At 36.8% G+C, this 12,544-nt stretch overlaps 1 protein-coding gene across 11 annotated transcripts in view; it reads right to left on the minus strand.

Annotated features, from left to right (window-relative positions):
* The window catches only part of XRN1 (5'-3' exoribonuclease 1), a 141,428-nt gene that overhangs the window by 51,173 nt on the left and 77,711 nt on the right, over positions 1–12,544 (minus strand). For all 11 annotated transcript variants that reach the window (XM_047448357.1, XM_047448356.1, XM_017006640.2 and 8 more), the window contains 3 exons: positions 7,528–7,584; positions 7,265–7,397; positions 2,080–2,149 (listed from right to left, as the gene is read on the minus strand). In XM_047448357.1, coding sequence (XP_047304313.1) covers positions 2,080–2,149; positions 7,265–7,397; positions 7,528–7,584 — 260 coding nt within the window. The remainder of the gene's footprint in view (positions 1–2,079; positions 2,150–7,264; positions 7,398–7,527; positions 7,585–12,544) is intronic.

Raw genomic sequence — 12,544 nt, forward strand, 5'->3', positions numbered from 1 at the left:
CCACAGCACTTGGGAGGCCGAGGCAGGTCGATCACTTGAGGTCAGAAGTTCAAGACCAGCCTGGCAAACATGTTGAAACTCTGTCTCTATTAAAAATACAAAAAAATTAGCCAGACATGGTGGCACACACCTGTAATCCCAGCTACCCGGGAGGCTGAGGCAGGAGAATTGCTTGAACCTGGGAGATGCAGGCTGCAGTGAGCCAAGATTGCACCACTGCACTCCAGAATGGGCAACAGTGTGAGAATCTGTCTCAAAAAACAAAATACAACAACAAAAACAAAAACAAAAACAAAAAAACGAAAACTATGGTTTGGGCAGTCTAGGTTATGAAAGCTCAGGAGCATGGAACCATTCTCAGTATAGCTCTTCCTAAGCAACAGGGTAAATGTCAGCTTTGATCTCATTTGTCTATCGGTCAAATGTGGAGTCCAGCCCTTTTTTCCCTCATTTTCCCATCTTAAAGTTCTGGGCCTGTACCTGGAAAGGCTTAAGAGACAAGTATTTGTGATTTCCATCTTTCATGGCTTTGATAAACGTGTCAGATATTAAAGAATCCTTCTCTTGTTAAGTTTTCAACTCTATCACCTATTTTTTTTCTCTTTGAGAGTATAATTTTCTTATATTGAAAGAAAGTGGAAAAGTAGATTTCTATGAGAAACCTTTGTAAGTTCAAGGTTGCTAGGAAGTATCTATTTTCATGAGAACTAAACTTACTAAAGATTCTGTATTACAGAAATGAATACACTGCAGGCAGGTAATCTTTTACCCAGCTCTCTATCAGTCAGTAAATTCACTGTCCCTTACTAGGAGAGGGGGGAAAAAACCACAAAAATATACTTAAAATATATTTTGGAAAGTTAGTGAATCAAAGGTATTGGTAATCAAACACTTTCATGAAAAATAAAATCAGACAGGAGATCCGGATTCTGCTGCTGTATGTGAAGAGTGTAGACCGGAAAAGTCTTTGAATAACAAGCATATTTAAGTTGCAAAACAATAATAATAGCATCCTGAAGGTGACTACTTGGTATAACAGCCAAAGACTGTGAGTTCATGTAAGGAGGTTAAAAAAGGGTAATTAATTTTTTATTTTAATTACTCACTTATCAAAATAGAGGAAAAAAGGAAACTAAGCTAAATTCAGTTCAGTTTTCCAGCTGATTTTTAGAAAGCAGAAAACTGGAAAGGATTTCATCTCATCCTCACAATAACCTAGGGAAGTATGTATATATCTTCATTATAGATGAGGAAATTGAGGGTCAGACACTTAATTAACCTACCCAAGGAAATACAACGTTTAACTGCAAGTTTACACCATGGTGCCTCTCATTTTATCATGATACTTGTTCCTATAACTTTAAACTTTCTATTGGCACTTTCCCCCAAAACACTTGTCTTATCTGTGTTAAATTAAAAACAATTTAACCCTCTTCCTTTAAACCTCCTAACCTCCAGTTAACTTTCTCCTTTCCTTTATAGTCAAACTTCCCAAGTGTTGCCTCAATTTCCTGTCTCCATTACTACACCTGCCATTCACTTGTCAAATCATGCCAATCTGTCGTGAGTACCTACAACTCCACTAAAATTGGTGACAAAGACATACATGTCACTAATTTCAAAGGACATTTCTATTCCTCAAGTTATTTAACCCTAATAGCATTGTTTACATATGCTATTCCCTCTTCCTGTGCAAATGTCATTATTCCCCCCTTTTCTCCCTGGTTAGCTATTATTCATTCTTCAAGTTCTATCTTAAATACCACTTCCTCAAAGAGGCCTTTCTGTTACTCTCAGGATGGGTCATACTCTTTATAAAAACCTGCACTTCTTCCTAGCACTTGCCATGCTTTAATTAAATAATTAATAATGTAATCGGTTGCTTAATTACCTCCCTCACTAAAATGAAAGCTCTCTGAGGGTAGAAAGCATGTCTGCCTTATTCAGTGTTACATCCCTAGTAGCAAGTACGTCTTACACATCCCACAAACTGAAATTGTAAACAAATAAAAAGTAATGTAAAGTCACTGGCCACATGAACATATTCACAAAGGGCAATTATCATTGGGAAATACAAACCTTATTGTTAACCCTCCAGGAAATTCTTCATCAAATAATACTTCAAATAGTACATCGGCTTCTCTATTAGCTGTTACAATAGGGAGAGAAAAAGAGACACTAAAAAATCATATGATGAAAAATCAACAGATAAGTTTTTGGAGTGTTTGGAAGTATTTATTATAAAATTCTAGATATGATATAAAATATTCAGGATATGAACAATGGCATAATATTAATATAAGGAACATTATATAAGCTAAGAAACAGAATACCAGTGCCTTAGAGGATCATTATTGTCCCAATTCCCAACTAGGTAACATTATCTTCAATTTGGCAGTTATGATTCCTTATGTTTCTTTATACTTCTACTACATACATATGTATCTATGAATAATACATAGTATTGTTTTGCAAGTTTTGAAACATATACATGATATCATAGAGAATATATTATTTTGCAACTTATTTTTCTTTCAACATTATATTTGTGAGATTCACCCACGTAAACATGTGCATTCAGTTTTCTGGATATATAGTATCCCATCTATGGGTATACAATAATTTATCCACTCTCCTGCCAATAAACATTTAGGTGATTTCTAACTTTTGCTATTATAAACAATGCTACAATGAACATGCAAATGTGTCCTTTATGCAGGTGAATGTTCCCTAGGTTAAAAGTGAAAACTGCTGAGTCTTAGGGCATGTACTTTTTTAAAAAAAAAAAACAGTCTTACTGGGCTGGGTGCAGTGGCTCACGCCTGTAATCCCAGCACTTTGGGAGGCCGAGGCAGGTGGATCACGAGGTCAGGAGATCAAGACCATCCTGGCTAACACAGTGAAACCCCGTCTCTACTAAAAATAAAAAATAAAAAAAAAAATTAGCCAGGCATGGTGGCAGGCGCCTGTTGTCCCAGCTAGTTGGGAGGCTGAGGCAGGAGAATGGCATGAACTCGGGAGGTGGAGCTTGCAGTGAGCTTAGACTGCATCACTGCACTCCAGCCTGGGCGACAGAGCGAGACTCCGTCTCAAAAAAAAAAAAAAAAACCAAACAACAACAAAACAGCCTTACTGAGGTATAACTGACATATGATACACTGCACATATCTGAAATATACAAGTTAATGAGTTTTAACATACATAATTAACCATAAAGCCATGATAAATAGGATAATCACTTCCAAAACTTTCCATGTCCTTTTGTAATCCGAATCCTCCTAATCTAGGCAACTAAAACTCTGCTGTCACCATAGGTTACTTTACATTTGTAGAATTTTATGTAAATGAAATAATATAATGTGTATTCCTCGTTTGTCTGGCTTCTTCGAGCATAATTATTTTGAGAGTCACCTATGTTGTGTCTATCAGTAGTTGTTTCTTTTTTATAGCTGAGAAGTATTCCACTGCATATGTATCCAAGAATTTGTTTATCCATTCATCTGCTGATGGGGATTTAGATTATTTCTAGTTTTTGGTTATTACATACATATAAAGCTGCTATGAAGATTCATGAACAAGGCTTTATGTGGATTTAAGCCCTTATTTCTCTTGGGTAAATACCCACCTATGAATGGGATGGCTGGGCCCTATGCTATGATGTATGTTTAACTTTTTAAGGACTTACCTACATCATGATAGCCCACCAATGGGGGGAGAAAAAAAGAACCCACTAAACTACTTTCCAAAGTGGTTTTATCTTTTACATTACGACTGGCAATATAGGAGAGTTCTAGTTGCCCTATATCATTGTCAACACTTGGTATAATCACTCTTTTAAATTCAAGTCTTTCTAGTCTGTATGTGGTAATATCTTATTTGGTTTTAATTTGTATTTCCCTAACAACGAATGATGTTGAGCATCTTTTCATATGCTTATTTGCCATCCATGTATCTTCTGGGGTAAAATATCTGTTCAGCTATTTTGATCATTTTAAAAATTGGGTTAAGTTGTAAAAAAACTTTTATATAGTCTAAATAAAAGCATTTTGTTGGATTTATGTTTTGCTAATATTTGCCTTTTCATTTCTGTAATGGTGTCTTTTGAAGAGAGTTTTTTTTTTTTTTAATTTCGATGAAGTCTAAAGTAGCAATTTTCTCTTTGTTTCTTTTCTTTTTCTCTCTTTTTTTTTTTTTTTTTTTTTTTGAGACAGAGTCTTGCTCTGTTGCCCAGGCTGGAGTGCAGTGGTGTGATCTCAGCTCAGTGCAACCTCCACCTCCTGTGTTCAAGAGATTCTCCTGCCTCAGCCTCCTGAGTAGCTGGGATTACAGGTGCCGGCCACCATTCCTGGCTAATTTTTGTATATATATTTTTTGAGATGGAGTCTCGATCTGTCGCCCAGGCTAAAGTGCAGTGGCATGATCTCGGCTCACTGCAACCTCTGCCTCCCAGGTTCAAGTGATTCTTCCGCCTCAGCCTCCCAAGTAGCTGGGATTACAGGCATGCACCACCATGCCTGGCTAATTTTTGTATTTTTAGTAGAGACAGAGTTTCACCATATTGGCCAGGCTAATCTCAAACTCCTAACCTTGTGAGCCGCCCGCCTTGGCTTCCCAAAGTGCTGGGATTACAGGCATGAGCTACTGCGCCCGTCTCTAATTTTTGTATTTTTAGTAGAGACGGGATTTCATCATGTTGGCCAGGCTGGTCTTGAACTCCTGACTTCAAGTGATCCACCCGCCTTGGCCTCCCAAAGTGTTGGGATTACAGGCATGAGTGCCCGGCCTTTTTTTCTTCGTCCCCCCTACCCCCGCCCCCACCCCCACCTCCATCCCTCCCCTGGCCTTTTTCTTTTTCTTTTCTTTTTCCTTCCCTCCCTCCTGCTCCGGCCTTTTCTTCTTTTCTTTTTCTCTCCCTCCCTTCTTTTCTTTCTTTCTTCCCTTCTTCTCCTCCTTCCCTCCCTCCCTCCCTTCCTTTCTTCCTTTTCTCTCTCTCTCTCTTTCTTTTTTTGACAGGGTCTCAGTCTGTCAACCAGGCAGGAGTGCAGTGGTGCAATCATGGCTCACTGCATCTCCGATCTCCTGGGCTCAAGTGATTCTCCCACCTCACCCTCCTGATTAGCTGGGAGTACAGGTGCACAACACTATGCCTGGCTAATTAAAAAAAATTTTTTTAGTAAAGACAGAGTTTCACGTTGTTACCCAGGCTGGTCTCAAACTCCCGGGCTCAAGCAATCCTCCCGCCTTGGCCTCCCAAAGTGTTGGGATTACAAGTGTGAGCCACGGCACCAGGCTGGCAATTTTCTTTCAGACTCTCTATGTGTTATTTAAGATATCGTTACCGAATTCTAGGTTATTAAGATTTTCTCCTAAAAGTTCTATAATTTTAGCTCTTACATTTATGTCTTCAATTCATTTTGAGCTAATTTCTATAGAAGATGTAAGGTAAGGAGTTGTGGATTTTTTTTTTTTGCATATGGTGTCTAATTGTTCCAACACCATTTTTTTTCTTTTACACTAAACAAGTCCTCAATATATACAGCACGATTTTTAAATTAAATTACATTTTTTTTCTTATTACTCACCACTATACTAACGGGGACAGCACCATTTGTTAAAGACATTATCCCTTCTTCATCAAATTATCCTGGCACATTGTTGTAAAATCAATTGACCATACAGGTTTGGGTCTATTTCGGGACTCTAATTATATTCCATTGATCTATATGTCATCTTCATATTAATTCACACCGTTTTTCAGTGCAAATTTTACTCTAGTTTGTAAAGTTTACTCTAGCTTTGTAAAGTTTACTCTAGCTTTGTAAAGTTTACTCTAGCTTTGTAAAGTTTACTCTAGCTTTGTAAAGTTTACTCTAGCTTTGTAAAGTTTACTCTAGCTTTGTAAATTTTACTCTAGCTTTGTAAAGTTTTGAAATCAGGTAGGGTAAATTCTCCAACTTTGTCCTTCTTTTTCAATTTTTTCTGGTTAGTCTAGAGCCTTTGCTTTTTAAATAAATTTTACAACCAGCTTATCAATTTCTACAAAACAGGCTGCTGGGATCTTGATTGGGATTTCTTTGACTGTATAAATCAAAGCAACTGATTTCACTGACATTTTAACAATAGTGAGTCTTCCAAAAAAGTAAACAAAAAAATTAGGGAAGAAAATTCTTTTAGTTATGTGGGCAGGAAGATTCAAAGAGGATCTACAAATGGAAAATGTACAGAACCACTGTTCAAATTTAGGTAGGAATCAGGGGAAGGAGTTCAAATCCCAGCTCTGCCACTTATCTATGTAAACACAGGAAGATTACTTAACTTATCAGGTGAGGAAATAACACCCACCCCTTGGGTGATAGTGAGGGTTAAATGCAAAATATGTTAGTGCCTGGCACATTGCTGGCACTAATTAAGCAGTTCTCTTCAGCTAGTGGCCCGTCTGTTCTTCCTACTTTTGGGATAGTGAGACCAAGAGGTTCGGTGCCTGGGATATATATAGAGGAATGGTGCTGCCAGCACACTGACTCCTGGGTGCATGATGCTGCTTCATGCTGGCACTAACTTTTTTTGAATCTATGCTATAAAGCTGGTTATTCCAGGAATATCTTTGGGGGCACATTCAGATATTTAGCTGCTGCTTCCTTATTTTCCCCCTTCTCTGATTTTTTTTTTCACCATCTTAGCCACTTTTAAGCGTATGGTACAGTAATGTGAACTGTATGCACACTGTTGTGCAACAGATTGATAGGTCTATTTTATATATGTAATTTAGTTGTATTCATAAAGTCCAAATTAATATACACATTTAATTTTCAAGTCTTTTAACTGTAACTAACGTAATATATATTTAATCTCAGAAACTAAGTGATTACAATGAAATTTAATCTCAGAAAATAAGTGATTACAATGAAAATAAAGCTCTGAGCAATGAAACTCAGGAGAAGCAATGAAAATTATCAGTTTCATGAAAACATATGTATGCTCACCAAGATCTTGCATAATTTTAATGTGATATAAAACTACTAAATTCTCAGCAGCCCCTTCTCAGTTTCTCCTTTTAATCTCTTTCCAGATTATACAATAAAAAACAGAAGAGATTTTTTTTTCTCTGAAAAGTATAACCTAAAAAAAATTTAACTAAAACATAAAAAGATTGTTTGTTCCTGATTTATAGTCACTTTCTGGTTAGATATAAAAAACAGACAAGCCTGTTTATTACTTTACAATATAAATTACGTTGAAGACATTTCAAGTATTAGGATATTACCTCCTTTTATTCCTATGATGGTGCCTCGAAGGCCAACTGGAACTGAGAAGTTTTCTCTCACATTTACAACACGGTCAAAAAGACAAAATTCTGCATCCCGATCAGGAATGACTCCATGTTGCTGTTCTAAAGGCTGAAGAGAAGAAAGCTATTAATTATAATAAACAAAAAAATTTTCATACTAATATACTGAAAACATCTTTGCTCCTTCCATGCATTCAAAGTGAAAGCAACAACTCTGAATTCTTTGATAGGAAACTTACTCTGTATAGCAAATGGGGTTTCACTGTTACTCGCACCTTCTTATTATTCTTTCTTTGCTGAGGAAAAAGAAAAATTGTTAAATATTTTTAAAATATAAAATTATAAAATCACTACCTACTCACTACTTCCACATGTCTGAATTTTAAAAAGCCAAATGAAGAGATTAATTTTTAAAATATTTAAAGTTCTGCAGCTGCAGCAAGAAGAAATAAACACATATAAAATGCCTATAGCCTAAATCATTATTTAAAAATTTTTTAAAGTAAAATTTTTTGCTGAAGTATAAGACAGCATGGGGAGGAAAATGCAAAATTATAAGTATATAGGCCAATGAACTTTTATAGTGTATCTATGTATAACTATACCTGGTTCAAGAAACAACATTGCTAAGCACAACACAAGAAATCCTTTCCATCTCCTCCCAGTTACTACCCTTTCCAGAAGTAACCTTACTTCTAACACAAAAGATTACATTTGTCTGTTTTGGCCTTTATATAAATGCTATCCTATTCAAATGTCTTTTTTATAACTATGAAAAGAATTACATACAATGGCCAACAAAGATGTATATATTTTTAAAAAGTATCAAGTACTGACCTATGACAATACCATGAATTTTGTGGCCACTTATAAAAATTATGGTGGCATTCATTTGACAAAACCCTTTGCTTTGAATTTATTGTAAAATGCGATATTAGAATCTTTTCATTATCTAAAAAATGCTGGAAGAAGACTTTTCTCCTATCTTTGATACTTGCTAGTTCTGTGAACTCACACTTAACTACTTTAGGCATCAGCCTCCTTCCATCTGTAAGATGGACATATTATCTGTTCTATCTAATAAAAAAGTGAGAAAAATTTATATCCTTTACAATTTATAAACTACTATTCATACTAAAAAAATTTAAAGTTAATTCTTATCGAATTTTAAAAATTACAGCAGTTTAATTATATGGCAGTCACCTCTCTTTAGAACATAGCTTATGGGAATATGTACAAAAGGACACAGAACAGATCCAGGCTATAGAATCCATAAACTATAGGGTTCATGTATTTACATACTATAAAATGCTCAAGCCTTTAAACAGTGTCTATTTTCTTTTGTTATGAGGCATTTCATTTATTCTTTCAATGAATATTTACTGAGATCCATTTGTATGCTGTATATTGATTAATCTAGGTGCTGGGGATAAAGCAGTGAACTGTTCTCTTACTCTAGTTGAGGGAGATATACAAGAAACAAAATAAGGAAGATATATAGCATGCTAGCAGGTAAAAAGCCTAGAGAAAAATGAAGCAGTTAAGGAGGACAGCAGTAGGGGGAGACATTACAATTTTAATAGAGTGAACAGTGAAGGCCTTAATGACAAAGTATCTATGCCCACAGCCGACTAGATGCACTAAAAGACTACAACAGCAAAAGGAAAGACTATGAAGAGATTTAAGGGAACTTTAAAAAGCAGGCACAGTGGGGTATTGCACATCAAAAAACAACCCATATGCTCTAAGACATTAACAGGCATTATTACACTATAGCATTGATTAGAGGACATGGATCAAAACTGATTCATCAGGCAAATGAATAAGCTGGGTAATGTTCATAATAGGCCCAACCCATATCTAATGTATGAGAAGTTTGGGGACTGGCTATTCAAAATATGATCACCTAAGAGCTTATTAGAAATGCAGAATTTTGGCCAGGTGAAGAGGCTTACGCCTGTAATCCCAGCACTTTGGGAGGCCGAGGCAGGTGGATCACCTGAAGTCAGGAGATCAAGACCAGCCTGACCAACATGGAGAAACCCTGTCTCTACTAAAAATACAAAATTAGCCGAGCATGGTGGTGCCTGCATGTAGTCCCAGCTACTCAGGAGGCTGAGGCAGAAGAATCGCTTGAACACAGGAGGCAGAGGTTGCAGTGAGTCGAGATTGCACCACTGCACTCCAGCCTGGGCAACAAGACTGAAACTCCGTCTCAAAAAAAAAAAGAAAGAAAGAAATGCCAGAATCTCAAGTCACACCCCAGACCTACTGAATGAGAACTATATTTTAACAAGATTCTCCGGTGATTTGTTTGTTACCTGAAAGTTTGAGAAGCACTGCTCTAGAGGAAGAACCCAGAATTTTATTCTAATTTTAACAATGAGGAAATAGAGGTATGGAAGGAAAGTTCTACCAGTAATTTTGATAATTAGCAGAGTTTGGAAACCATGTTCCAACAAGAAAACTGACTCTTTTTTTTTTATTTTTTTTGAGACAAGGTCTTCCTCTGTCACCCAGGCCAGAGTGCAGTAACGTGATCATAGCTCACTGCAGCCTCAAACTCCCTGGCTCAAGTAATTCTCCTGCCTTGGCCTCCCGAGTAGCCAGGACCACAGGCGTGTGCCACCATGCCTGTCTAATTTTTTTATTTTTTGTGGAGATGTTGCCCAGACTGGTCTCAAACTCCTAACCTCAAGTGATCCACCCTTCTCCCAAAGTGCTGGAATTACAGCTGTGAGTCACCGTGCCCAGCCAACTACTAATACTTTTAATGATGATCCTGCATTACTAAGAAAAGTTTAAATGATCTTCAGAATTACAGTGTTTTTTAGTTTTTTCTCCTTTTATTGCCCTAGTAACATAATCCTGAAAGAAAAAAAAAAATCACTCATAACTGCACCTCCCTGACAAATTAACAGGTTTAAGAAAACTCCTGTCTTATCTATATGCATATATGTATGATCATATATATGATTATATATAATACATATTAAATGATATGGAGTTAATATATTACATGTTTATATATAAATATGTATTTATATAAACATTTAATTTATAAACATATAAATTTAACACATATATATATAAAATGATATGGAGTCTTGCTCTGTTGCCCAGGCTGGAGTACAGTGGCACAGTCTCGGCTCACTGCAACCTCCGCTTCCCAGGCTCAAGTGATTCTCCTGCCTCAGCCTCCCGAGTAGCTGGGATTACAGGTACCCGCCACCACGCCTGGCTAATTTTTGTATTTTTATTAGAGACAGGGTTTCACCATGTTGGCCAGGCTGGTCTCGAACTCCTGACCTCAGGTGATCCACCCGCCTTGGCCTCCCAAAGTGCTGGGATTACAGGCGTGAGCCACTGCACTCAGCCTATATGCACATATATATTTTAAAATGTAATCAATATCACAGACTAAGACGTTGTATATGTATCTTCCATTTGTAAAGTAAAGGGAAAATGTGTGAAACATTTTAGAAAGCTCTGAATCCAAATGGGTTAAAATTGGGGGGCTTAAGGTTTTAAACATTTGTTAACTGGAAAACTCACCTCAAAAATGATGCTGAACAAACTGATTTCACTCTACATTGAAAGGCAATTAAAAAGAAATACAGGCTTTCTATCCTCAGCTGAAAATAAATGACCTTTCAAAAATTAAACTCTTGGCTCTGAGCCTTATATTTTTTCCTAAAGAGAAAAAGAGTCATCTAGTGGTGATTTTCTAGACTATAATCACAGCTCTTCAGTATGTGATAGGATAATTTAAATAATAATTAATAAAAACATCTAAGCATTATTAGGCATTAATAATAGCTAGGCATTATTAGAAGTAGTTTACGCAATATTAACTCAGTTTATCTTTTTGAGGACACTCTGAGGCAGGTACTATTTTATTCTAATTTTACCAATGAGGAAACAGAGGTATGGAAGGAAAGGTTAAGTATCTTGCCTAAGGTTATTAATATTGAAAAACCGATTCAAACTCAGGGTGTTAGGGGAGACAGCTCCAGAGCCCAGTTCTTAACTTATTCTGCAATTAGTTCGAACAAGAGAATGCTGTGTTGGCAAAGCAACAGCATTTTAATACAAAGGGCAAATTTGTGAAACATGAAATAAAAAGTTGAAAAAGGCAAAATAATCAATTCATTTTCTATAGATAAAACAACGCAACTCTACTATAAAAGTCTACTCCTTAAAAGAAAGCGAGACGTAAGAAATAGGAGAGATTGAGGGAGTTCAAAAATTTTTAGTAACTCAATGAGTGTATGAGTAAGAAAAGTACATTTTAGGCCAGGCACGGTGGCTCATGTCTGTAATCCCAGCACTTTGGGAGGCTGAGGCAGGTGGATCACCTGAGGTCAGAAGTTCAAGACCAGCCTGGCCAACAAGGCAAAACTCCGTCTCTACTAAAAAATATAAAAATTGGCTGGGCGAGGTGGCAGGTACCTGTAATCCCAGCTACATGGGAGGCTGAGGCAGAAGAATCGCTTGAATCTGGGAGGTGGAGGTTGCAGTGAGCCGAGATCATGCCACTTCACTCCAGCCTCGGTGACAGAGTGAGACTCTGTCTCCAAAATTAAAAAAAAAAAAAAAAACAAGAGTATATTTTAGAATTGACTGTCAAAAGTCAATTAAACTTTTTTGTTCTACAAAAAGATGAACTGTGTCTTTAAAGAATGTAGTTAGAGGCTGGGTGTGGTGACTCACCCCTGTAATCCCAGCACTTTGTGAGGCTGAGGCAGGCGGATCACCTGAGGTCAGGAGTTCAAGACCAGCCTGGCCAACATGGCGAAATGCCGTCTCTACTAAAAAATACAAAAATTAGCTGGGTATGGTGGCAGGCGCCTGTAATCCCAGCTACTCAGGAGGCTGAGGCAGGAGAATTGCTTCAATCTGGGAGGCGGAGGTTGCAGTGAGCCGAGATCCTGCCACTGCACTCCAGCCTGGGCAACAGAGAGAAACTCTGTCTCAAAGAAAAAAAAAAAAAAAAAGAATGTAGTTAGAACAGGAAGAAATAGGGGATTATTAACCTTATTCTCAAACTTTCTACTGTAACTAAAATCACAAAATATTAATTCTCAATATTGGAAACACTACAAGGGCATAAAATTTAAATACTATGGCTTTTGTATATTGAAAATATAATTTTATAAGTTTATAATTAGTTATGATGGCTAATGTAGCCATTAACATATTAGTGCTATACAATATAAATTTGGCATAACACTATTGGCTACTAAAAGCTACTAT

Source organism: Homo sapiens, chromosome 3 (genome assembly GCF_000001405.40).
Source record: "Homo sapiens chromosome 3, GRCh38.p14 Primary Assembly".
NCBI lineage: Eukaryota > Metazoa > Chordata > Mammalia > Primates > Hominidae > Homo > Homo sapiens.